Genomic DNA, 27,490 nt, shown 5'->3' on the forward strand with positions numbered 1-27,490 from the left:
GTTGGCCAGAACTATGTCTTTCACTTTTATGTATTTGCTTGGAGTATGGTTGATGGGTAGTGATGGATGGATGGATAGACGGATGGGTGGAGGACTGACTGGGGTTGGGGAAAGAGAGAAGCCATCAGTGTGATAGGATGAGGGCAGCTCACCTTGGCTGGTAAGTGGACACACACATGGCCCTCTCCTTCCAGAATGCAGAATCTTGGAGGTAAGGATTCAGGGGTAGAATGTCTATGTAAAGGAAGCTCTGTTGTGGGAGAAGGGTAAAAATGAAGGGCTGCTGGGACTAGAAAGCAATAATGTAATTTGCCACCAGCCTTGAGAAACTTATTGCTCGAATAGCTGCACCGTGTGGCTCCCACCCATAGTGCCATAGATCAGCCTGAAAATTCCCAAATAGCTTCTCCTCCTCCTTAATGTCTCAGTCCTGCCCTCCCAGGTCCTCCCACCTGCCACAGTTTGTTTTCTCGGTACATGAAGAGAAAGGGGTTGTTGTCTTGATAGATCTCTGCTCTTCAGCTGTTGTTGCCAGGGACATTTATGTTCCAGAACATCTAAAAGGTTCTCAACTTAGAGGAGTAGTGGAAAATCTGAGGCTGGGGAGTCAGCCTGATTCTTGATGGGCCATTCTTCCTTGATTTTAGGCTAGCATCTATTGACCTCTTACTACGTTTCGGGCACTGTGAATAGCTTCACCTTTTATTCCCATTTTACAGATGAGGAGACGGAAGCACAGAGACTTCCCGATCTACCCTCCACCCAGTAGTACAAAGATACACAAGGCGCTAGAGTGAAGTTTTTCCATCCTGCATGAAAACAATAAAAATAAACAATGTAGTACATTTTTGGTGAAGTCACTTTTTTTTTAGTTTATGGGATATGCCCTTTTATTTTGGGGATGTGAAAAGACCTTTTCTTTTTAAGAGAATATGATGATATAAAGTGTCAGTTTTTAGTTTTTGTTCTTTCTTGGTAGTAGAGAAATACAGTTAGCCAATGTTAGTTTCCAAAATTGCTTTAGATATATTAGAGGTAAATAAACTCTGTTAATCTGAAGATGACTGTTGCAGATGTTAGCTTCGTTTCCTTTAGGAGTAAAGTATTTGTATGATTTTATCCACTTTTTATTCTGATCATTTATCAGAAAAAATTGCAAATAGTAGCTCTGAGACCATATAATTTATTTTTATTCAGCATTAATCAAGATACTTTGATTGTACAGTTTTGACCCTGAGGCCCTTTACCTCTATGTTGGCATAATCGGAATTAGACAAAGACTGCAGCATTTTTATCAATGGAGTATTTTTCAGAAGCAAACAGTACGGGGGTCATATAATTCCTCGATTCATTTTTTCTTCAGCACAGTTAAACCATTCCTTATTTTTTCAATTCAGTTTTATCTTACTGAATTATTTTTAACAAGATCAATTCTGCTCCATATGTATTCTATAGTGAAGATTTGATTCATCAATCAGTTATTTTTCGTGTGCCTATCAAATTTTACCGACACGGCTTCTACTATTGTGAATGTTCTTTTGTGGCCATTATTTCTGCCACATCCAATTTTCTCACATCAGATTTGCAGGTCTAAATTTTGTCAAGAATGTTTGATCCTTCCTTCAATTTTTTAGTTAATAACAAATTTCACCATGCGCATTTTTAGCTGCTGTCAGTTCTATTTTGTGTGTGTGTGTGTGTGTGTGTGTGTGTGTGTGTGTGTGTGTGTGTGTGTGTTTTCCTGACAGGTCTAATTTTTTTCCGGGTCAGTTTTTGCAGTTTGAAAAACCAAATCTTCTTCCTACAACTAACGTCAGTCCCTTTCCTAATAGTTTCTCAGGAATGTGTCCAAAACATATTCATGAAGTCAAAACGTCAGGACCAAAATAGCCTGTGTTGTTTATAGAGACCAGCCACTCAGAAGGATTAAGAAACTTACCCGAGGTCATACATAAAGTGGGCAGCAGATATCTGTTGGGTCACTATAGAATCTACAGCCCCTCTTGTTCAGTGAGGGGCAGAGTAAGGATGTAAAATTGGGATGAGCTTGACGTTGTGCCTTCCTCCTTCTAGCTTCTGCTTCCCAACCCCTCTGCTGAGCTAACAGAATTTCCACTGACCCAGCCTCCCCAAGAAATGGCAGCTGGGGCCACAGTTCCAAGCCTCTTGACTTCTCCATGCTTCCTAGCTAGGTCCGCCTTAAGCTGTATGTGCAGTGGGGTGGCATGATTTACAAATAAGCAGGACCAAAAAGGAAAAATCCTCTCTTGTGGAAAATTAGGTCAGTGGCAGAGTTGGGGAGGGGAGGGAATCTGGGCCCTGTTCTTCTATCCTTTGGTTCATTCCCCTTTCCTGAAGCCAGCAGGGCAGAAACTGATGGTGCTGTTGGGAGCAGACATCTGGGGGTGAGGGGGTGGGGAGCAGTGCCCGTTCACGTGTTCTTGTGTGGATATGTGTGAGCATGAAAGTGGTCTGTTTTGCAGCCACTTGGGACTCCCCTCTCTCTGAATGTATTTGTCTGGATTACTCTAAGGGGGATATTAGTGTTGTCTAATAACGGCCTTAGATTTATCAGGGGATTTGTTTGATTAATTCCAAAGCAAAGTACAGCAGATAGATTAGAGCTCAGCCAGTGTAGTGGGTCTATACCACCCATCTCTGCCCTTTCTAATTCCTGTTGCGGGGGCTTCCCTCTCTCGTCTTTGTTGTCTTGATGGTTGAAGGCTCTAGTGTTTAAGACCCCACTGTGTGATAGTTAAAACCATTTCCCACTGCTAAAATGCATGAGTGAGTGTCTGGGCTTAGAGATAAATCTCCAAGTTCACACTGTTGTTTCTCTACAAAAGCTGCAGAAATTTGGCTACTTGCTTTTCTTTCCCAGTTGCCACTGCCGTACTCTTTTTCTGAATACTAAAAATGTTTTATTGCATTTATAAACACAAGCTTTTGGTGATAGGTTGGCACTGAGTCTTTTCTTTATTGGGAAGTTGTAGGTCAGGGGCAGGAGTAGAGAATCCTGTATGTTTGCTTTACAATTTTTTTTCAAGGTGCACCTGTTTAAAAGTGTGTAGAGAGGAATGAACTAGGGGAGGTTAGAAGTAGGTTAGACTTAATAGGTTTTTGTTAAGTTACCCAAAACCAGTGGTGGTAGGTGGCATCCTGGTGCCTGCTAGAGTTGTGGAGAGGGGAGAGGACACTGATGAGGTGACGAGACAGATGATATATTAAGAGTTAGCAATAAAACACATTTGTATGGCATTTTATATTTTTAAAGCATTTTTATATACATTATCTCATTTGAGTATCAGCCCCCTAAAATATATTCTTCTATTTAATATAAAAGAAATACTGGCACAAAGAGTTCAAGGTCATTCAATGAACTAGTGACTTTTAGAACTGAAACCACCTCTAAATCCAGTGCTTGCTCTCACCATACTCTTAATGTTGGATTCTTCTCCCAGACTCCCAGTCCAGGGTACCAGTACCCCAGCAGAGGCACAGTGGGAAAAGCAATGACCTGGGATGCAGATGACCTCAATTCTGATTTCAGCTCCAAAATTGTCCAGCTGAGTGTACGTGTTAATTCCTCTCTCTTGGATCTGTGTTTCCTCTTCTGTGCCTAAAAGTGTCCTGGACAACTCTACAGCACTGATCACAATGATAATTAATTAGTTGCTTGTCTGATTATTTGTGGCCCATCTTCCTGGCTAGACTCTAAGTTCCAAGAGTGCAAGACCTGTGTCTGTCTTGTTCATCTGCCATCACCCCAGTGCCTAGCACCATCCCTGGGACATAGATAATGTGAAAAGAATATATGTCAATGAAATGAACCTGTACAATGAAAGGAATGGACCTTACTTGAAGTCCTAAGACTCTTCCACTTTTCAAATTCTCTGCTTTTTCTCTGTTATCTCTGAAACAATCTGAGAAACACCTCCTTTTTTTGTTTTTACTGTTTTTAAACTGTCTTTAGAGTACAACAGAAATTATAAGATAAAAATAGTGATTAATAATAATTCTAATTATAATTCACAAACATATTATTAATATGTGAATGTGAAATCAAAATGCTTTTTAGGGACTCTCTCTCCTCTTACTTAATCTGTGTTTCTTTCTTTCTTTTTTTTTGAGATGGAGTCTCACTCTGTCGCCAGGCTGGAGTGCAGTGGTGTGATCTCACCTCACTGCAACCTCTGACTCCCTGGTTCAAGCAATTCTTCCACCTCAGCTTCCTGAGTAGCTGAGATTACAGGCACATACCACCACGCCCAGCTAATTTTTGTATTTTTAGTAGAGACAGGGTTTCACCTTGTTGGCCAGGATGGTCTTGATCTCCTGACCTCATGATCCGCCCACCTTGGCCTCCCAAAGTACTGGGATTACAAGCATGAGCCACCAAGCCCAGCCTAATCTCTGTGTTTCTTGGAAGCAGAACGTCTCCTTATCTGGGTTTCTGAGCTCCCTCTGGAAGGGCCTCTGCAGACTCCTGTTGAGCCTTCAGAATGGGACTGGTACTCATTAGTAGGCAATATGCATGGGCCTCAGACTCAAAAAAAGATTCTTTTAGGTCCAGAGCTTTACAACACCTCCTTACTTTACAAAGAAGAAGAAATCAACCTTGCTTATTTTTTTTTAATGGGAGAAATGGAGGGGTACAAAGGAAAGCTGAAAAGCTGCCAAGGGGCTTAGAAGTAAGAGAGTCTTCTAATAGGGCTACTGACTTTCTTCTGGGGTTCCCCAGGTCACTAGAAACTCATTCTGTCAGGGCAAGGATCCATTGGGAGGCATTCAGTTGAATGCTGTCTTGAGCCACTATGTTACCCCTTCCTTCTCAAGTTCATTGCAAACCGTGCTAATCAACCATAAAGTTCTTTCTATCCCAGGCCCATGTCTAGCTTCAAACTCTTTCTTAACACAGTATTCCAGGTTGTCAACAATCAAAGAACAGGGAATTAGTATGTGCTGAGCATGGTGTCAGGCAGGTCATTAAGCATTTTATATACAATTGATTCTTTTGATAAGCTTGACAACTCTGGAATTGATACAATGACTCCCAATTTATAGATGAAGTTTAAGGGACTTATCTAAGGTCACATAATGAATAGCAATATTGGCATTTGAGCTCAAAACTTTCTACATACCTCTCAGTGAGCCCAGCCCTCAGGGGTGTCCATCTGCCCATGGGCCCATATGGTGAAATGTCTTTACAAAAAATTCCTCAGCTAGGTACAGTGTCTCACATCTGTAATGCCAGCACTTTGGGAAGCTGATGTGGGAGGATTGCTTGAGGCCAGGAATTTAAGAACAGCCTGGGCAACAAAGTGAGACCCCTCTCTGTACCAAAAGATAAAAAAAAATGTTAGCCAGGCATGGTGGCCATGTGCCTTTAGTCCCAGTTACTTAGGTTGAGCTGGGAGGTCCACTTGATCATGCAGCTGTACTCTAGCTTGAGTGACAACAAGACACTGTCTCTTAAAAAAAATAAAAGATTTCTCTCCACTCAGTTGTTGCTGTCCATCCTGTGGGGGCACTTTGAGATTTCTCCAATCAAAGACTTTGAAGCGTTCTCTGTCAACTCTAAATCCCCCATTAGTGCTAAGTATGATAATAGAAGACCATGTAGGACCACACTATCATGTTTACATCGTCTCTTGGTTCATAAGATTGGTGACTAACAGCAATGCAGAGCCGTCTTTTTGAGTCTCCAGTGCCTAAGTCAGTGTCTGGCATGTAGCACCTGGTCAATAAATGTTAGCTATTTTGAATAGAACCAGACACAAAGGCTCATGATGAGAACAAAAAAAGGGTGAGGATAAAGGCTTGTGGTAAATTGTAAACCTCCCCAGCTTTTCTGAGAATCCCAAAGCCAGCCCTTCTCAAACTGTGTTCTGTGAGATGTTACTAGATGTTTAATGAGGGGATTGAGGGGGAATTTTCAGTGATCTAAAAACATATATCCCCTATGGACTATATCTCCTTTTGGACTCCACAGTGTATCTTAGTATGGATGAAATCTTCTGAAGACTTGGGATATTAAAAAACAAACTTGGTGTGCTCTAAATTTACTGGACCACCGTTTTGTTTTGTTTTGTTTTGTTTTGTTTTCAAAGAACAACTGTTCACATCTTGCTGGATGTTGTGATGTTGTATTTTTATGGAATTTAGTTTTGGATATGCTACCCCAGCTTTTAATCCTTTCTCTGAAATATGGCTCCTGAGATCCCACGCAGCATTGGACGTTGTACATACAACAATGCACATTATACTCTAAAATACTTAATGACCATCAGTTCCTTCCATACTTTCCAGTGGTCTCAGCGAGCACACACTGATTTCTTGAAATTTGTCCTGGTGTCCCAGAGGATGATAGATTTGGGTGGTGAGACCAGTAAGGGAAGAAATATTTGTGGATGGAAGTATGGTACTGTGGGAAGGAAAACGAGTTTGGAGTCAGAGAAATCGGAGTTCACATCCTGGCTATTATTTATGAGATGCCTGAACTTGGGGGATATTAACTTCCCTGAGCCTTAGTTTCCTTGTCTGTTAAGTGGGGTAACAACAGTATCTACATCAGTAGGATTAAATGAGGTTATTTACATACACTATAGTTGCAGGGGCCTGGTATACAGGAAGCACTCAGTAAATGGCAGGGATTATAATAGATAATAATCCCTGCCACGCTGTCTTCTGGGTCATGTTTTTCACATTTCTTTTATGATGTTATTGTGAATAGGGATCCCACTAAAACCTTTTTTTGACACTAAGATCTAGCATATTGGCTAACAAGGAATTGCCCCTCGTTAGTATTTCTGGAGTGAATAAACGAATGATATAGCACTCTGTTGTTTACAAAGCACTTACATATTTGTGGCCTCATTCAAACCTCACAGCAACCTGGTCATGTACTTACTGTCATTATTCCCAGTAGTTGGGGATATGGAAAATGAAGCTCACAGAGGCTCAGTTGGCAAAAGTCACACAGCTAGTAGGAAGCTGGAAAGTCAGGCCTCAAAGCCAGGGCTTCTGTAACTAAAATGTGGACTGTATACACAATGGAATATTATTCAGCCTTAAAAAGGAAGAAAATTCTGACACATGCTACAACATGAATGAACCATGAGGACATTATGCTAAGTGGAATAAGCCAGTCATAAAAAGACAAACACTGTGTGATTCCACTTATATGGGGTACCTAGAATGGTCAAGTTCATAGACATTGAAAGTACATTGGTAGTTTTCAGGGGCCAGTGGGAGGGGGTAAAGGGAATTAGTTTTAATAGGTAAAGAGTTTCAATTTTGCAAGATGGAAAGTGTGGAAGTGGACAACGGTGGTGGTTGTACAACATTACGAATGTACTTAATACTACTGAACTGTACACTTAAAGATGGTTATGATGGTACATTTCATGTTATGTGTATTTTATCACAATTCAAGAAAACTGGGAAAACAAAACTAGCACCAGGGCTTCTGACTCCAAACTGAGGTTTCTTTCCCACACCCCGTATCACCATCCCCTACAGAGCAGCTATAGTATGCCTCCTCTTCTAAGACACTTTATTTTGTATTGAATTGAAAAGTTTGCAGAACTCACCTCCACTGAAACCCTAGAAGACCCACCTGCTTCTCCTAGAACATTCATCCTGTTGGCCTAAACTCTGGGAAGTCGGAGTCTTTCCAGAGAGTAGGGAATTCTTTGAAAGAGGGCAGATCCTCTGTCTCAAGGAAATCACTGGGGTCAAGTAATGCAATAATTGTGATTGCCAGCCTCAATGACTACTTCTTTTGTGCCAGACACCTTGCTAAGTGCTTTTGCGTATGTTAGTTCTTTATAATGCTTACATCAGTCCTACCAGGCAAGTAGACTGTCCCCATTTTACAGATGGGGAGGTTAGGGCTCGAAGAGATTGGCTAACATGCCTGAGCTCATGTGTGCAAGAGCCAGGATTGTCATCCAAGTCTACCTGACTCTAGAACCTGCCTCTTAACCTCTATCCTATCTATGGTGGGGGCAGAGAAATTGGAGATGTCTGTGTCTAGAGTGTTTTCCAACATAGGAATTGACAGATTTCTCTCTCCTCCTGTGACACACTTTTCTCTCTCCTACCAGATGATGGGACATCTCATTTAGGCCAGTTTCTGTTTTGATTTCCTGGTGTCCTCTGAGATGCAGATGTGTATTCCTTTCCCTGGTGGGTCGTGCTGCAGTGTGAGAAGGACAGCTTCCATTTCTTTCCCTAGGAAGTTGATATATGCATCCTGTTTCCTGGCAGTGCCCATCTGCTATGAGGACTTTCCCAAGGCCCTCACCCTGCCGTGTGGGAGACTACTGCAGGTGCCAACCTCATGGCCTAAAGCTGGGAAATATTATTTGGCTGGAAATGCCTTTTGTTTGCAAGGCTTAAACAGGTCAATAGAAGCTCAACTTGTCATTTTCAGTTTACAAGAGATGTGTCAACAAGCCAGCAGAAACAGTAATAATTTCAATAAGTTTCCTGAATGTTTACTATGTGCCTGGCATTGTGCTGAACAACTTTATATGGATTATTTCACTTAATCCTCACAATAGTCATATAAATTAGGGACAATCAGTTCTGTTACAACACTTGTTTTGAAAATGCAAATTTGTTCTAATGCAATTGATGTATTAGGGAACATTTTGAGCATAATAATTTCGCTTTTGATTATGCAGGATTTTGTCCATAAGAAACACTAGGTGAAGGCAGAAAACTGCAGCCAGCAGAAGCAAGCTGTGTAGGAACACTCAAAGTGCACACATCTCAAACTTGTACCAGCAACTTCAGCTACCGTGTGTGTTATGAGTCCCACCCCACAAATGATGTTTCAACTTTGTGTCCAATTCCAGGAGATCCTCCTCCTACACTTTACAATGATTCATAAGCTTCCCATTTTCACAGACAAACTTCAGGTCTGTTAAAAGTGCCATATTTATTGTAGTACTTACGTACTTCTTAGTGATTTAACATGTATAGAACTGCTTCCTCTATTACGTGTCACTGATGAAGTTTATAGGTGTTGCATCCCAACTTCATCTTTCCGGTTAAGCTCTGTGATTTTTACTGTATGATTTTGCACAGCAAAATGACTTTTAGGATTGCATACATGCTTCTGGCAGAACTGGCTTTACTACCATTATTCCTGTGTGGCAGAAGAGGACCATGAACCTAAGAAATTTGCCAAAAATATTTTAAATGACAAGTGGCAAAGCTGGGATTCAAACCCAGGCTACCTTACTCCCATGCCTGTTCTCAAAACTTCTAAAGCATTTAAAAAAAAAAAAAAACAAAAGGGCTGTCTGCACTGATCTCTGATTATATCTGTAACAACCAGATTGCCTCTTCTCGCAACTGTCAAACCCTGTTTCCTCAAGCCAGAGCCACTGCAAGTATGTGAGAGCCCCTGAAGGTGTTTGAGTACAGCAGTGACCTGGCCCACAGAAATGCCTGCCTTGGTCCTTCCTCTTCCCCTCCTGGCCGCTGCCTGCCCAGGCTGACTGGTGCCTGATATAGCTGCTACTGATGCTCCATCTTGCAATCTGGAGTTATTAGCATCAAAGAACAAAAGCAAACAGCACCAGGGCTCTGGGGCTCAGTCCTCTATGAAGGTAGATGAATGGACCCTTATGTCGGGGATAAAGCTAACACCACCCGGCCTTTTATGGAGACAACTCTTCCTGTGTTTGAAGAGCTCAGACACTGAGAGCCAGAAAGAGCCCTAGAACGAAGGAAACAACCTCCTCACTGCTGGAAGTTTGCTTTAGTTCTTAACTGAAAAAATTGTTTCTGTGTTTGTTCTTGAAGAAGAAGGGAAAACCTTATGCTCATCTTTCCTGGGGGCAGGAGTCAATAGGCCACTGGGGAGGTGCAGTCTTTGCCTTTTTTTTTGTTTTTTCTTCTAATGTTATGGCTCAGTGTAATCTTTAGTGGAAGGCCTGCCCTGCTATTTGAGGGCCTGAGGCAAGACTATACATGGAGGCCAGTGGCCAGCCTCCCTTCTCTCTTTGCTAGCACCAGGAAGGCCCTCATGCACGTTTATGTGACGCCCCAGCCTGTAGAAGCCCACAACTCCTGCAGACAGCTTCTTCTTGGCCACTTTTTGACACTAGAGTGCACATACCAGTAGGTTGGTCTGCTTTGAGAGAATGGACCCTGGGAAGAGGCCCATCTAGATTTGGAGCAATTGGGCGAGGAATTCTGGGTACCAGAGCATATTCTATAAGGGTGGGGCAAGTATTGCTGGCTCTAGGTGGAAACATCTATTTGATCTGTGGACTCTTCAGTTCCTGGGCTGGGATGTGGCTGCAGAAGGAACAGAATGGGCCCCTCTAAAACATATAGCCCAGGGCAGGGGCTCCAGTTGCTCAGGCCTACGGCATTACTGCATTTTACCCCTTTCCTCTGTCCCTTGAAATACCTTTTTCTTACTTCTGTGAGATGCCCAATATTCTCATACCTAATTTGTAGCTCCATGGGTTAGATGGTTTCTGTCCTGGTTTGCTCTTACATTCAAAAATATAGTTTGACCCTTACCTGATGTGCTGCTGAGTCTGAGAGGTATAATCATAGTGCAACCTCTCTAGGTCTTAGTTTCCTTATCTGTAAAATAGGATGAATACCGTTTCTACCTGTTAGGGTTTTAATGAAGATTAAATAAGATGATGCATATGACCTAGGGGAGGATGCCAACTCCCTTAAATCAATCTTATCTGGCTGTAAACTGTCTTTTCTTCGGCAATTTACCCCCACTTTTTGTCTATTAAAAAAATCAATATACACATATGTATACACGCATATTTGCATAGATATTTCCTCAGGCCAGTCCTGGGGCCCAGTGCTGCTTCCCCATACACAGACCCCATCCTGTATAACAGCACACAGAGAATGCTTAATAAATATGAGCTTTATTAGGATTAATATTGCTTTTATCCCATTTTGTCCTCACGTTCACCCTCTGATGGGCTGATACTGCCAGAATGGTAATTGACAGAAAGGGGAATCCACAGCTGGATGTCCAGGATTCAGGTTCTGGCTCCACAGGCTGTGTGACTTTTGGCCAGTTACCTAAGCTTTCTGTGCCTCAGTTTCCTTATCTGTAAAATGAGTGTGGTAATAGTTCCTACCTCATCGGGTTGTTGTGAGGCACTTAGAACAGTGCCTAGCACATAGACAGCCCTCAGTCAATGTCAGCTGGTGATTTTATTACCTTCATATATGAGAGGATAAGAGTATTATAAAAATCAACCCCAAACCTTTCCTCTTGTCACACAGAAGGAAGGCAGACAGACACAGAAGGGACGCAGCTGCAGGTGTTTCTGACTCCTTGCCTTGCTGCCTCCCCATTTCTGAGGGTCTCATCTATACAGCTCCCTCTGCCTGTGGATGCTCCTGTTAGACCAGCTGGGGTCTGTGTATGGAGGAGCAGCCTAGAGCCCCAGGACTGGCCAGAGGAAATACATAGGTAAATATGTGTGTATACATATGTGTGTATCAACTTTTAATAGACAAAAAGTGGGGGCAGATTGCAGAAGAAAAGGCAGTTGACAAACCAGGTAAGATTGATCTAGGGGTGGTGGCATTTTCCCCTGTGCCAGCACACTTCTTCAGCTACCTCCTGCTGTTTTATTTTCTCATACTGATGGGCCTGTAGTTTTCCAGAGCGCCACTGCATTTAAATCTGTATTCTATTTTCTCTCCTAGAAAATAGGTCAGACTCAAGGCAGAGTTCACCAGGTGGGGTCCCAGAAGGTTTGACTGGGACTCGCCTACAGGAGGCTGGCTGTGCAGCCTGTCCCATGCTCCCCAGAGCTCTTCCAGAGGCATGGGGGAGTTGAAGTAGCAAGTCAGGAGAATCTTGGACTCATACCTGTCCGTCCAAATGATCTAGTACAAATGAAGAGTGAGGTGGGAGGACTACCCCGGCTGAGCTAGCTTCTGCAAGTGCAATAGTGGTGAATGATGGGCCCTTTCTTTTCCTCCCAATGGTTATGTATTAGTCTGTTCTCATGCTTCTGTGAAGGAATGCCTGAGACTGGGTAATTTATAAAGAAAAGAGGTTTGATTGACTCTCAGTTCTGCAGGGCTGGGGAGGCCTTAGGAAACTTACAATCATGGCAGAAGGGGAAGCAAACATGTCCTTCACATGGTGGCAGGAAGGAGAAGTGCTGAGCAAAAGGGGGAAAAGCCCCTTATAAAACCATCAGATCTTGTGAGAACTTATTCACTACCACAAGAACAGCATGAGTGTAACTGCCCCCATGATTAAATTATCTCCCACTGGGTCCCTCCCATGACTTGTGGGGATTACGGGAACTACAATTCAAGATGAGATTTGGATGGGGACACAGCAAAACCGTATCAGGTTAGAAGAACCAGGTTCCCCAAACTGCAGAAAATTGTTTCCCTTGGACTTGAGGATGACCATGCTGAGCATATGCACTTGTGGCTGAAGTTATTGTTGAATATGCAGTAAGTGTCCATGGGATTCAGAGTGGAGGCAGGAATACCCTAATTTCCTTCTTGCCTGGTTGTGATGCTGAAGAGAGTGGGTGAAAGACGGAAGTGGGTTTCCAATTCTTTCTTTCCTGTTTTGTTCCTACTGTTTAGAGCATGGAGATCCTAAGGGAGGTGGCTGCAACTGGGACAGAGCTAGTTTTCATCAGGATTACTTTTTCCCCCTGAATATTTCTTGAGTACCTGTTACCTACTGAGGACGTGTGTGAATGGTAGAGCTAGGAAGGTGGGAGTAATGTGAGCCAGTCCTCAGTTTTTCTATCATAACTTAGAAATAACTAACTGAACAGGTACAGCCTAGATCTTTTGCATTTGCTATTCCCCTGCCTAAGTAGTCTTTGTCAGGTATACAGAAGAGTGTTTCTCACCTTCTTCAGGTATCAGCTCAAATACTACTTCCTCAGAAAGACCTCTTTAACTACCTTCTCTAAAATGGGGATACTCTGCTGGCACTTACTCTACTTTTCCTTTCTTCATGGCTCCAATCACTATTTGACATTATGTATCTGTTTTTATTCCCATTAAAACCCAAGAGTATTGTCTGTTTCATTCACTGCTTGTATCTCCAATGTTTAAAGCAGAGTTCAGCCTATGATAGATGCTCGGCCAATAGGTATTGAATGGTGAATAGATGATCTTCATTGATAAAACTCGCAGAAATACTTTTAGTATCTCCATTTATACATGATAAGTTTGAGGCTCAGAGAAGCTAAGGCAGTTGCCTCTAGATGAGGGGGTAGAGCTAGGATTTGGTTCTAGATCATCTTAATCCCCTTATTAAGAAAAGCTGTTTTCTTCTATGCTCCCCATATTTTTAGGTAAGCTGTCTTCACATGGTAACAAAAATGGAATATGGCAGCTCTAGAGAAATGAAAGCACCCCATTTCCTGATAATTCCAGTAAAATTCTCTGGGAAGACTCTCATTGGTTGGGCTTGGGTCATAGGTCTGTTCCTGAGCCAATTATTGGAAATAGAATATTCTCAAGACCTGGACTGAGTCACATGACTACTACCCTTGGAGCTCAAGTGGGAGTGGGGGTCACCTCTAGCAAACCACGTGGGCTAAGGCTGGGAAGGGGGCTTTCCCTGGAAAACAGCTGAGGACTGCTACAAGAAGAAGAGGAAAGGGATGCTGGATAGACAGTCTGGCAGATAGACACTGCTAAGGTTTTGATCCTTACCTGCTAGCCATCCCCCTCCTTCGTCTACCTCTTACCTTTGCCATTTCGTTCTGTCAATCAGAATTGAGTCCAGAGATTCAGGTCACTCACTGCTTCTTGGGCCAGGGGCCAGGTGATAATGTGTCTCTATTCCTAAAGTTGGAATAATGCTCAGACCTGCCTCCAGGTCAGTGCCACAGTTAGGAACTGAGCTTGGACCTTGATCCCCAGCCAGAAGATTTTGTTCATTTGTTTGTTTTTGGTGGGATTGTTGCCCCTCTTTGACAAGAATAGGTGCAGTATTTTTACATACAGGACTAGAACTATGCCAAATTGAGACTTGAGGAGGGAAAACAAAAGAAATAAGGATGGAATTTGTTTTGATCCTTGCTTCTGTTCGCCCCCTCACTTCACACTGAGGAATGGGGTGGGAAAGAACCAGAGGGAGGGGAGATCGGGAGCAGATGTCCTTATTCATAAGTAGAAAAGTGGAACCAAAATCACTGGCTTCATTCCTGTGATCTCTTGGTGTTTCCAGTGAGCCATCTGGTCAATATTTTTTGATATTTCCGTCTGTGGTAATTCAAAGTGATGACAATCAGAGTCACTAACGTTATGTAGCATTGTACTTAGTTCAGTGCTTTACAAGCATTTAATCTCATTTAATTCTCATAACACCCCCATGAGGGAGGCTCTGATATCATTCTCATTTTATAGCCAAGGAAGATGACTCTTAGAAGTTAAATGATGGGTCCAAGGCCACAGAGAGGCTGGGATTTGAACCCAGACCTGTCCGCCTCTGAAATTTAAGATTGTAATCACATCCCCAAATGGGCAAGTAACCAGTATCGAAAAACCTTTGGAGTTCCAAGGAATTCTGTCTCCCTGTGACTTGGTGTCCCCAAGGAGCCTATTTGTATGAACAATGGTGTTGACATTCTTCTGCCACAGAACTCGGCCACATGTAAATAGTTTGATATCCTGTTTAATTAAGGGGTATTTTAACATCTATTCCAGGCAATCCATCAGTAACAGTTAATGGACCCGCCTAGTTATTTATACAACACTTTTTCCCTTTCCACCTCTTCTCTTCTTCCTGCCATTCATCCCTAAATCTAACACACTAGAAAACCTGAAGGGGCGGTGTGGCTGAGGCATGATTCAGAGCTTTCTAGAAGTTTCTTTGGGCAGATACAGCTTCTAGGGGAGGCAAGGTGGGGGCTAGAGAAGTGCTCAGCTGTTGCTATGGGTATGTTCATTCTGGGGCACAGCTTAGTTGGTCAGCACCTGGATTTCCTGGGGCAAGGGCCCTAAGGACACACTGGAGCTTTACAAATCTGATTGCAGGTGTTTCATTATCGGTTGGCATGAAGAACATTACCCATCCTGTTCAGGCAGCAAATTAGAGGCACAGAGAATAAACCATGACCCACTCATAGGGCAGGTGGGAGACGCTCACCCAGCTTCCCCATGGCTTCAGCATGATCACTTTAATCTGCAAACCAAATTCAGGTCCTGTATGCTCTTGAGGGACCTAGGCTTCAGTTGAATGAATGATGGACTAGGTGGTATGCAAGAGATCTAGGATATTTTCTAGTCTGTGCCCCTGAAGTAGCTGTGTGACCTTATATAAGTCTCTCTACTTTTTCATCCTCCATCTTAACAAAAAAGAACTAAACTAGGTACTTAGTGTCTGTGGCTACTCCAGATCCACCATTCAGTGATTCTAAGTGAGCTATCCAAGACTGCCAGGTTGGTCATTGTTTCCTGAAGCAGCCCCTTGTTCCTTCTCCTCTGCTGTGGTATATCCTCTCAGGTTGGGTCTAGGGGTTTTAACAGTGCCTTGGGCTGCTCTGGGTTATGCTTCCCCAGCCCGATTCTATTTCACATCTGAGGGAAGGAGGAGGAGATTATGTTGTTCATGGGGCTGATAGGCGCGAACCGTTCTTCATTTTCTGAAAGTTCATTGGCTTAATTCAAATGTCAACCTGTCTAGGGTTGGGTGTTTATTCGTAGTTGTCAAAAGTGATTTCAAGTGGCAATTTCTGTCATTAGTGTTAGGGTGAAAAGCAAGGAAAAAAATTAAAGTAGGAGGCAGGATTTCAATTTGTTTGATGAATGATCTACTCACACACAATCTCATGCACACACACTGCTGTCTGTGATGAAGCGTGGTCACTGGGTGTACTGGGGAGGCGGGGAATTGTAAATATTTTGTGACCTTATGTCCTTCAGTCCTATGTGGTGAATAAATCTGTAACTTGCTCTTAATTCTTATGCCTCTTTTGCTTTGTTTCTCAAGGGAGTGGTTCATTTTTACTTTTTCTCTCTGCTGGGAAACCTTGCTTGACTTCATGTCCAGTGTTTGGTATCCAAAGACGGGGAGGAGGAGGATTTGCTTTGGTGTCAGTGTGCAGAAATCAACCAGAATATTTTAACCAATATTCTTGCAGGATTCCAGTCTGCTTGGCTCTTTGAAGCCCTATCTGATTCCAGGATGATGTCTTTCCGGACAGATGTGAAGCTTACCTCTCTTGCTACATGCAAAGTGAAAAGGGAGCTTGGCCCCTCGGCTTGCATGGGTGGTTTTTGGGTGAAGGTGGAACTAAGTGCTCAGAAGCTGAGTACCTCTGGGGCTTGCATGAACTTGATAGTCATGCAAGAGCACATTGCATTGTGTGTGTGTGTGCTGCTAACACTCTTCTTCCTTTTTCTCCCCTTTTCTCTCCTCTCTCCCTTTCCCTCCCTTTGAAAATGCTGCCACAGATGTCAGTCAAGATCCAGGTGAGTCTTTGTGTTTGCACAGCTGCTGTGGGAATTTCCCCTCTGCTAGATTGTGCATGGTTTGAGTCTGAGTGAGACTTTTATAGAGACAAAATTCTAAGTGTATTGCATTTTCACTGATCTAGGTTTAGAAGAAGAAATGCATTGAATTAATGGATTTGTATTGGTTTTGAAGAACCATTTTAAAGCCAAAGGAATATGGTTCTCATACTTAATATAATCACTTCCTTCTCATTAGTATTTCTGGGTGATTCAGAAAATGAACATTTTTGGGAAAGTATTTGTAAAGTTGTTCTTAGATATGTATTCTCCAATTTAATGAACAACGTTAGCTTTGTCTTTCACACATCTGCTTATCTTCTCTAGCTTCATGTGGTTGAAAGCAGAAGATATGACATACGTAGCATGGAAAATGTGATGTGGGTGAAAGGAGGTTTCTTTCTTTTTATTCTCAGAAATGTCTTTTTCACAATGAAACCAGCAATATTTATTGTTTTTCCTGGTTATGTAAATAATACATGCTCACTGTGGAAAAAAAAAGCAGGATGGTTTGAATAAATGGTTTTTGTCAATGGAAAAATTAAAGAACCACGTTTATAATAATTATGCATTTCTCTTTTTAAAGTGTGTCTTCATCCAGAGTCCTGGTTTTAAGCATTGCGTGTGTATAGACAAATATATATGCACACACACATACATAGAATCATGTGAACTGATGCAGGCATTTATGGATAAGTGTCAGATGACTTAGAATGGTTTGGAGACTATTCTGAACTGGCTAGAACTTTGAGTTAAAAAGAATAATTAACTTGACCAAATAGGAAGGGAGCATCATTTCAGGTGTTTTCACATGTTTTCTTGTTTAGTCCTTTTAATATTTAATTTTTATAGCATTAATACGAGATAAGTATCATTATATTCATTTTAATGTACAGGAAATTTAGGGCCTGTTAGGTTAAGCAGTTTTGCCCACGATCATAGAGCTTGTCAGTGGTAGCACTGGGATTTGAACTTCTGACTCTCCATTGGAACATGCTGGGACCTGTAAGTGAAAATTCTCAGTGATTAAAGATTTTGTAAGTATTTCCTAATGAGACTATTGATTATTTGTTTGTTTTTGCTTAGAGATACTTGACATTTTCTTTATTAGCAGCCTTCTTTCCAAATGAATTTATCTTTTTATTGTTCTTAAATGTCTAAAATAATCAACCAGACTTAAGTAGGGTTCTTCTGATCATTGTTCTGTGTGGGATCTTACACAACATAAAAGTAGAATACAGTTATTCTACTTAATGCAGAGAGTTTCTCTCCATTTCTTCCTGCCTGCTCCCTACCTTTGAAAATAATTGGTGTTTGAACCAAAGCCCAGGACAGCATTTCCTAGGAAGATGCCATTAAGTTTATTATTTCTATTTAATAATATTTTAGTTCAATCGCTCAGTCAACAAATATTTATGTTCCAGGAACTGTTCTAGGCCATGGGGACAAAACAGTGAACAAAACAGAAGACATTCAGTGCCCTCATGGACCTTTTATTTTAGACAGAGGCAGACAATGATCTAAAATGTACACGCAGACACACACATATCTATGTATATATACATATGCTTTATATGCATACATATATACACACGTATATGCATGTTTTGTATATGCATGTTATGTATATATTACATATGTATAGTATCAGGGGGTGGATGGGAAGTGCTGTGGAGAAAATTGAAGCAGGATAGAGGAGAAGTCCCTAATTTACAATAGGTAGTCAGGGAAGTACCCTCTGATAAGATGATATTTGCTGGGAAACCTCAAGGAAGCGAGGGAGTAAGTCCAACACCTCGTTTTGTTTGTAAAGTGCCACGTGGCGGCTTCTCTTTCTGGTTCCCAGCAGAGAAGTGACCAGGGGTCACCACATAGAGCTGGGCCCTGCATAGGGTCTCCCAGCCAAGGGGGTGAATGGGGGTATGAATCCAACCTGTGTTCCTCTTGCCAAGCTTGTGCCCATGAGGCTGCCTCTGACAAAAGGGGCATCTTTTTCTAGTGCTCACACAGGCGCCATATTGGTCCTGGGTGAGATAACATGGTGGAGTGAAATGCAGTGGACCCATAGGCCTTCTGCCATCCTTTCAAAGGGGTAGAAGTCTGAGGAATACCCTTCCTCAGATAACAGCAACTATGACCAGCCTGGCCCACACCATTTCAATTTCATGGCTGTTGTCTCATTTTGTTCTGTTATCCCTCTGAGGTGTGTAGCCCGAGTGTCATTTCAGTGTTGAGGAAGTTGGGGCCCAGGGAAGTTAAATGATGTGTGACGGTCACCCAGCTGTTGAGTGGCAGGGCCAAGAGGGGATTGCAGCCTAATTTCAGATCTTGTGCTCTTCATTCTTTCCTCGAAGTGTCAAGGGCTGATTACCAATCTTGTTGCCCCACCAACCCCTTGCTTTTTTGTGGTTTCTGAGCCTGAAGCAAATCACTGGTTTGGACCCTTCACTTGGGGCCCTGGACATGGCAGGAGGTGGCCTGAGCGTGCCCGGCCCTGGCTGAGGTCAGTGGGGGCCTCCTGCCTCTCTGAGCCCCTTGCCAGGCATTCTGGAGCCGACAGCGCTGTGGTTCTGAAACAAGAAGCCTTCAGCAGTTCTCTGACTCTTTTTTCCTTCCCCTCAGGAAGTCAAGTTGGGGATTTTATGAGCTAATGTAACTATTTACCCAGAGGCCGCTGGAAGACTATAAAGGGATGATTGATTAATTGATTAATTTTACATGTGGAGGAGATGAGTTAGAAGTAACCCTACTGTAAAGCAGTCTGAGATGGGGCCTGGTGGGCAACACCTTTCCCAAGGTCCCAGAGACAGGTTAGGGACTTGGAGCAAGAGCCCAGGGCACCCAGGAAAAAGGGGCAGGCACATTTTCTTCCACTTCATGGGGTGAAATCCACATTCCCTGCTTGTAACCTTTGGGGAGGAGGTTCAGAATAATAACAGTAACAATAAGCACTTGGCAGGTGCTGAAGAGGGCCCGGGAGCCCAGCTCTGACATTCTCTTAACCCTCCATGTCAGCTCCTCCAGGTTGATGTTACCATCCTCAGCACAGATGGAGAAAAGCTGCTGCAGGGAGCTTCAGTAACTTGCCCAGGTCACCTCCTGCTGGTGACTAGGCCAGGATCCCGGATCTGTCTGCCTCCAAAGCTTGTGCTCTTGTTCTTCCAGACCCTGCCTTTCACATGACAGAGCTGTGGGCCAGGCTGTGTCCTATTTGTGTCTGCATTCCCAGCTCTTTGCACAGCACATGGCACAGAGCTTAACCTCAAAAATCTCTATTGAACAAGAAGTATGGCCACAAGCACATGGGGAGTTTTGAGTTTGCAGGGTTCCAAGACATGGTGGAGCTTAAAGGGTATCCTGTCCAAGGAGTGCAAACTGAGGCCCAAGAAGGGAAAGGACCTATCCAAGGCCATGTTACCCATTTGTGGCCTGGCAGGGACCCCTGTCAGGTGCCTTATCCCATGCTTTTGTACATTGGGATTTGTCACTGGTCTTCCTGGGCTGCTTGTAGGGCAGAGGTGGGCATCTCTGCCCTGCCTTTAACCTTCCCCTGCTTTTTGCCTGTTCTAGAACTCTCTGGAAGCCATTTGGAGGTGAGGAAGAGGGAAGAGTAGTGGGTTAGAGCACAGGGAACAATTCTGGGACCTCTGGGTGTGAGACCCTTCTTCTCCCCTCCCCCAGTGCTTCTCCCTCCTGCCTGGAGGGGCTGTTTATGGTGCTCCAATGACAGCCTCTCTCCTCCGAAGGGATAATTTCTCAGGCTCTGCCTGCTGATTAGACCTGGAATTTAAATGAATAACTGTGACCTTGTGGAAGTGCCCTAGTTATTCAGAGGCCCGATGAGGAAATAGGCCTCCTGCTTCCATCCATCAGAGCCCTGGCAGGCACTGTGGGAGGGGCTCCTGTCTGCTGGGCCCCCAGGAGGCCTCCGTCTGCTGTTGCCAAAGGAACAGATACCTTTGCTGGAGCCTTCCCCTACCCGCTCTTGATCTCCGCCCCGTATTGTGTTCCTCCTCCATTGTAAGTCATCTCAGGCTGTCCTTGGGGAGGGGACCTGATTATGTGTCCTGGGCCTTGCCCTGTCTCCAGGGAGCCACTCAGTCCAGCCTGAACCCAAAGCTTGGAGACAGCTCTAGTCTGACTTTTGTTTGTGGACACAGAGGGGATGCACTTGAAGCTTGTTGCTCACAGGGCGACCTGCAGAACCGACCAGCAGATTCTCAGGCCTGCTGAATCAGAATCTGCATTTTATCAGGACCTCTAGGTGTATACTCATTAAAGTTTGAGCCACACTGAGCTCAAATTCCCACTCTCTCCTCCCATTTGGGACCAACAGGGCTGTCTTTACTGAGAAGTTGCGGTTCACCTTGCGAAAGCCCTCGTCTTCCTCTCTTGTGCTGGGCACAGAATGAGATATCTGATCTGGTTGTGGGGAGGAAGAAGAAGAACGAGATTAGGGAAGGGAACGAGAATGAACACTTACTGACCACTTAGTCTGCGCTGGTCACTGTTCAGGCACACTCTGTCTGACATGTTACATCTTTCATGTAGATGTAAGGCAAGATAGCATAGGATGGAGCAGGAGTTGGCAAACTATAGCTTGAGGGTCAAATCCAGCTTGCAGCCTGGTTTTGTATGGCTTGAAAGCTAAGAATGGGTTTTACATTTTTAAATGGCTGGGAACAGTCAGAAGATGAACAATTTGTAAGACAAAAATTTTATGAAATTTGAATTTCCATGCTCGTAAAGTTCTTTTGGAACATAGCCACACCTATTCCTTTATTCCTTTATGCATTGTCTCTGGCTAACATTTTTTTTTTTTTTGAGATGGAGTTTCGCTCTTGTCACCCAGACTGGCATGTAATGGTGCAATCTCAGCTCACTGCAACCTCTGCCTCCCGGGTTCAAGCAATTCTTCTGCCTCAGCCTCTCGAGTAGCGAGGATTACAGGTGTGTGCCACCACGCCCAGCAAATTTTTGTATTTTTAGCAGAGACGGGGTTCCACCATGTTGGCCAGGCTTGTCTCAAACTCCTGACCACCTGTGATCCACCTGCCTCAGCCTCCCCAAGTGCTGGGATTACAGGTGTGAGCCACCTCACCTGGCCTGTCTTCGGCTACTTTTGAGCTGCACAGGCAGAGTTGCATAGTTGTGATAGAGCCTCACAGCCTCTAAAGTGTTTACAATCTGGCTCCTTATTAAACAAAAGTTTGCCACCTCTGTCTCTATCATGGCACTGTGACCTATTCAAGTTACTTTACCTTTGTGGGGGTTCCACTTCTTTCATCTGCAAAATGGGGACAATAAGAGAACCTACCTCATGGAGTTGTTTCGAGCTTGTGTTAGAACAGTGCCTGGCACATAGTTAGCCATATATAAAATAGCTATTAGTATAAATGTGAAAGGAAAATAAATCTTGGGGCCCCCAAATCACTAAAGGGAAAAGTCAAGCTGGGAACTGCTTAGGGGAAACCTGCCTCCTATTCAAAGCCACCCCTCTGCTCGCTGAGATAGATGCATATCTGATTGCCTCCATTGGAAAGGCTAATCAGAAACTCAAAAGAATGCAACCCTTCATCTCTCACCTTTCTGTGACGTGGAAGCCCCCTCCTCTCTTCTTGCCTTTGCTTCAAGTTGTCCCGCCTTTCCAGACCTAACCAATGTACTTCTTACATACATTGATTGATATCTCATGTCTCCCTAATATATATAAAACTAAGTTGTGCCTGGACCTCCTTGGGTACGTGTCCTGCTGACTTCCTGAGGCTGTGTCAGAGTGGGTCCTCAACTTTGGCAAAATAAACTTTCTAAATTAACTGAGACCTCAGATTTTCGGGGTTCACATAAGTTATCCATTTGATCCTTTAAGCACATGTTTCCATTTTATAGATGAAAATACTTTGGCTCAGAAAGGTTTTTTTAAAAACGGAAAATCAACCCACCGTTGTAGCTGTGTCTTGGTCTCCCTAATTGTCTTGAGGCATGCTCCTGTGCAGTGCCGTAGAACCTCCCCAAACACACCTGCTGTTCTCTCCTGTCTCATATTCTCTCCCATCTGTCCTGCCCTTTGTGCTTGCAGTCAAGAGGTCCCTCAAACTTAGATCCCAGCCATTGTTCTCAAGTGGGGCTTAGGAACCAGTAAAAAGGGGCAAAGGAGACCAATATTTTGTAGAGAACCCACAGTGTGCCAGGCACCTACCACTTCACCAATGAAGAACCTTGAGCTCCAAGACATTGCATCCTTTGCCCAAGGTCAGAAGCAGGGATGGTAAGTTTCAGAATGTAAATGCAGGTCTGGAATTCTGCTTGGTAGTTCTGCCACTTTTCCCAGGAGGTGTACGCCCTTGGGCAAGTCATGTAACCTCTCTGGGCAATAGGCTTCTTTTCTTTAACCTGATAGATTAGAATCAGATGACCTTTCAGGCTTCTTTGATTCTGAGGCTGTATGCTTAGACCATCTGACTGAGATACCTTGGGGAATAGCAACCAGGAGAATGCCTTCTCCATTACCAAAGACTTCAACCTCCTAACTCTAGTAGTACCTATGAGATATTTTGTTTTTTCTTTGCTATTCTTTGGGGCAATACTCTTACTTGCTTTTCTTCCTTATTACTTTATGAGAAAAAAACACTTGAAATTGTTGAGCTTGTATTTTAAGCCAGGCATGGAAATATTAAGTATTACATGCCTCATTTAATGTTTTTGACATCCCTAGGAGGTAAATTGCTATTTGGCCCATTTCACCCATGAACCAATTGAGGCTCAGGTACAATAAGTACCTCACTGATACAACCCAGTAAAAAGTAGTGGAACAGAATGCAAACCCTGGTAGGTGCGGCCCAGGAGACATCTCCTAGGGAGTTCCACTAGAGTGTACACTTCACAAAGGTACACTGGTGTTTACAACTGTGCCCTCTTAGCCTAGAACTCTGACAATACATTGCAGGCACAGAAAAACACTTCCTGAATGAATCAACAGTGCTTAGGACTCAGCTCTTTGTTTTATCCCACATCCTGCTGAAAGAAAGTCCGCTTTTTATTGGGGTTCACCCTGAGACAGAAGGTAATTGAATGAATCTTTATTCAGTGCCCATCTTGGGCTTGGCTCAGTGGGAGATGGAGGCTGCAGGGAAATCTACCTCCATTGCGTGTAATTAGATTGGAAGGGGGCCCTCAGCTGGGCTAACAGTGCTCAATTCCCAGCCAATTGCCTGGCTGGGGCCCAGGAAGACCCCCCTGGCTCCTGTAGCTGTTCTCGATGAGTAAGTGTGAGTAAGGAGCTGCTTCTCAACCTGCCTCCAGCTTTGGCTCACTCAGGGATGCAGATCACTGGGCCTTGGTGCTTTTTTCTAGAGCCGTTAGAAATCCCTCCTTTATTGTCTTAGGCAGACCCACCGGGGTATTGGTTATGGTCACATTTCATTTCCCAGTTCTGGAGGGCAAGGCCAGAGTTTTAGCTGGAAAAATCATTTGTGGTATCCTGCCCCTGACCCTGCCAAATGGGCGGAGGTGTTTATTTGTTGCTCCAGTGTTGAGGGCAGCAGTGGCATTTAGAAGGAAGGGATAATGAATGTTAAATGTGCTGTGATATGCAGAAGAGCCTCATTCAAAGTTTTGTGCTGCTCAAAATGTCATTGATGAGACCATTGCGAGACTATTCTAGACCAGTTCCCTCCCTGTCCAGGAGGGGGAAATGAGGCAACAGACCTCCTACACGACTCAGCTAAGCCACACAGCTAGTTTGGGACAGCCTTGGAGACCCTCCCAGTCTGCAGACCTGCCTAGGGAGGTCTGGTAAGGACGAGGCTAAGCTTGTCAGTTTGCTAGGCTAGGCCTCAGGAGGGGTGAGGAGGTGGAATGCAGCTGAGAGTCCAGGGCAGTGGGTCCCTTTATGGGGTAGCTTAGCTGACTGTGACGATGTAGGGAGGCATCTGAGGATGCACTGGGCAGGTGGTCCGCTAATGCTGCCAGCTTATTAGAGAAATGGTGTTGGCAAGAGATGGAGGGCAGGGCAGAGAGAGGACCTAGATAGACCAGTCCCCTAAATAATGGCAGCAATAACTACATGCTTTTGAGCCCTTCCTGTGTGCTAGGAACTGTGCTAAGTGTATTCCATGTGTGGTTACATGTGACTGTCACAGTGATTCTGAAAGGATATTTTGCAGATGAGAGGCAGGAAATTTTACAGGTATTTTTCAGATGAGAGGCAGAAGGAAGTGCAAAGTTAACTTGCTCAGAAGTCCCACCATTAGTGAGAGGTGGAGCTGGAATTTGAATCCAGGCTTTGGATTATTGAGAGCAGTGGTCTGCAAACTCTGGTATGCATCAGAATCACTTGGAGAGCTAATGAATGAGATCCAGGCTCACTAAACTAGGATAGTTCTCCCAGGTGATTCTAATACAACCAAAGTTTGAGAATCACTGTTTTAAAATAAAGTCATCTTGAAGATGAAGGGACCTGAAAGCTTCACTCTTCACCATAATTTTATACTCCCACATATATCATGAGTAGTGTGGGAGATTGTGAAGAGGAAGTAGAAGGGAAGATGGGATGATGATCTTCCTTTGAGTTCCCCATGGCTTTTAGGCCATAGGTCTAGTAAAGCCATCATGATGATACACCATAGTCAGCTGTGTATTTTCTGGCCCCCTTATCTGCTACCGTGGGCACTTGAAGGGCAGCAGTGTCTTACTCTTTGAGAACAGAGATTTATCCATGCATGTATCCCCACTACCTGCCACATTGTAGGTGCTCATAAACCTGTGGTTAGAATCAGCATTTCAAGGAAGGAAGAGGCCCAATAGATTGTCAAGGCTCTCTGTGCACCTAATTTTTGAATCTCTTCTGTAAGAGTTGATTCAGACTTGGCTTGGACCCTTTCAGAGATGAGCAACTCATTGCTCCTTTAGCTTTTCCATTCCATTCCAACAGCACTGAACATTTGAAAGCTCTTTCTTATCTCTAGTTGCTATAGCCTCCACCACCTGTATGGCTTCCAGCCCTTGGAGACACACAGAATAGCTCTAATTACACTCCTAGTGTTTGAAGACAGGGCTTTTGCCTTTAAGGATCTTCTTTTCTAAAGGCTAAAACATCTCCAGTTTTTTTTTTAAGCATTCTCCTACAAGGGGTTTTAATTCTTTCTTCCAGGTCATTGTTCTCTGAAAAATGACACATTTTATTTTTTGCATCCTTTCCAAAGAAGGATGCCCACACCACATACAGTATTATGAGTATGATTGGGATCAGTTCAGTTCATTATAGAGTGGTCTCAGGACTCCCCCTTTTTTTTTTTGAGATGGAGTCTTGCTCTGTTGCCCAGGCTGGAGTGCAGTGGCGCAATCTCAGCTCACTGCAACCTCTGCCTCCCAAGTTCAAGCGATTCTCCTGCCTCAGCCTCCTGAGTAGCTGGGATTACAGGCACCCACTACCACACCTGGCTAACTTTCGTATTTTTAGTAGAGACAGTGTTTTGCCATGTTGGCCAAGCTGGTCTTAAACTCCTGCCCTCAGGTGATCCACCCGCCTCGGCTTCCAAAAGTGCTGGGATTACAGGTGTGAGCCACTGCACCTGGCCTGGACTCCCTTTTTCTAGATTAGATATCTATTAATGACAGCACCAAACACCTTAGCCTTAATAAAAAAAGATTATAGTATTAATTGAACTTAATGTCAGTGAAAGTCTTTACTATTGTAATGTCAGTGGAAGTCTTTACTATTTTTGTGCCCATTTCTCTCCCTTTCCTGGACTTGTGCAGTTGGTTTATTTAACTAAAGCTTGGGATCATTCTTTGACTTTGTTAAATCCAGCTTTGGATTTTAAAAATCCATCACACCATGATCTATGTGGGTGCAGTGCTTTTATCTAGCACATCAGCTGTCCCTTCTAGCTTCATGTCATTCATCAATGAAGAACTATTTTAGGGAAGTTCATGACAGCTGGAGAGCAAAGACTTTCTTTCCTTTGGAATGATTCTTTTCTAAAAGTCATTACTGCTGCTCCTTTGGCCCCTAGAGTGATGGCATAACTACCTTTGTCTCTCTGTCTTCCACAGCATTAATGCATGAGGAAGCCTCACCACTCCTTCCCCACTAAGAGATGGAATAGCTTGGGAATATGCTGGAGACATTCTTTCCCCTACACTGTAGTTAGGCCATACAGAAGCTGTTGGTTACTCATGGGCATGATAGGAAGAAACCCTTTCTGTTCAGTCCAGCCACCTTGCCATAAGAACAATATTGGTCTAGTGGCAAACAGTGAGTGGGCTGGTATGATTACATGGTACAAAAGGCTAGGTGGTGAGGACTGAACATGGTAGTATCATGGAAGGGCAAAACCCAGAGGCTGGAATCTGGGCAACCCCTATCTTGGAGAATTAGCAGCAGGATCTCTCTCTTCTGAGTCTCTGGAAATCATCATCATCATCAGTCCAGCAATTCGATCCATTCTCAGTGCTGTGTAAAGCTTGCATAAAAGCCAAAATCCTGTATGTAAATCCTATATGATTATCCTGAGTGTTAGCTCATAATTGCTGTTAGGTGATTATTTGAAGCTTTGTATAGCTTGGCTGTAGTGGTGACAGGCTATTGTTGAAGTCTGCCATTCTGATTATGGGTAGCATTCTCAGGGGATTTCAGCCATTTAAACCACCATTTTTATAGGTCAAAACAAGTCACCTATCAGCAGTTTAATACAGTCCTGCCCAATATGTTGCTTGGTGTCTTTGGAGATCATCAGAATTCATAGAGGCAAAGAATCTTAGAGTTGGGAGGACTTTCTGGTAATTATCTCCTACAACCTCATTCTGACTCTTTTTTATGGCATTTCTGGCAAATAAAATTTCCCTTATTATTTTACTCTCTGTTCATGCCAAATGTGCTTGTTTTTTTTTTTCCATCATGCATGTACAACTTTAAAAACGCTCGATGGGGGCCAGGCGTGGTGGCTCACACCTGTAATCCCAGCACTTTGGGAGG

General features: G+C 43.6%; 1 protein-coding gene across 51 annotated transcripts in view; it reads left to right on the forward strand.

Annotated features, from left to right (window-relative positions):
• Window positions 1-27,490, forward strand: part of NRXN3 (neurexin 3) — a 1,697,919-nt gene that overhangs the window by 91,817 nt on the left and 1,578,612 nt on the right. For 50 of the 51 annotated variants that reach the window (NR_158973.1, NR_158975.1, NR_158974.1 and 47 more), the window contains exon 3: window positions 16,456-16,473. The exons of the other annotated variant lie outside the window; for it this stretch is intronic. Coding sequence is in view for 45 of the 50 variants with exons in the window: in XM_011537363.2 (XP_011535665.1) it covers window positions 16,456-16,473 (18 nt within the window). In the remaining 5 variants the exon portion in view is untranslated. The remainder of the gene's footprint in view (window positions 1-16,455; window positions 16,474-27,490) is intronic. 51 annotated transcript variants of the gene reach the window in all.

Source organism: Homo sapiens, chromosome 14, assembly GCF_000001405.40.
Source record: "Homo sapiens chromosome 14, GRCh38.p14 Primary Assembly".
NCBI lineage: Eukaryota > Metazoa > Chordata > Mammalia > Primates > Hominidae > Homo > Homo sapiens.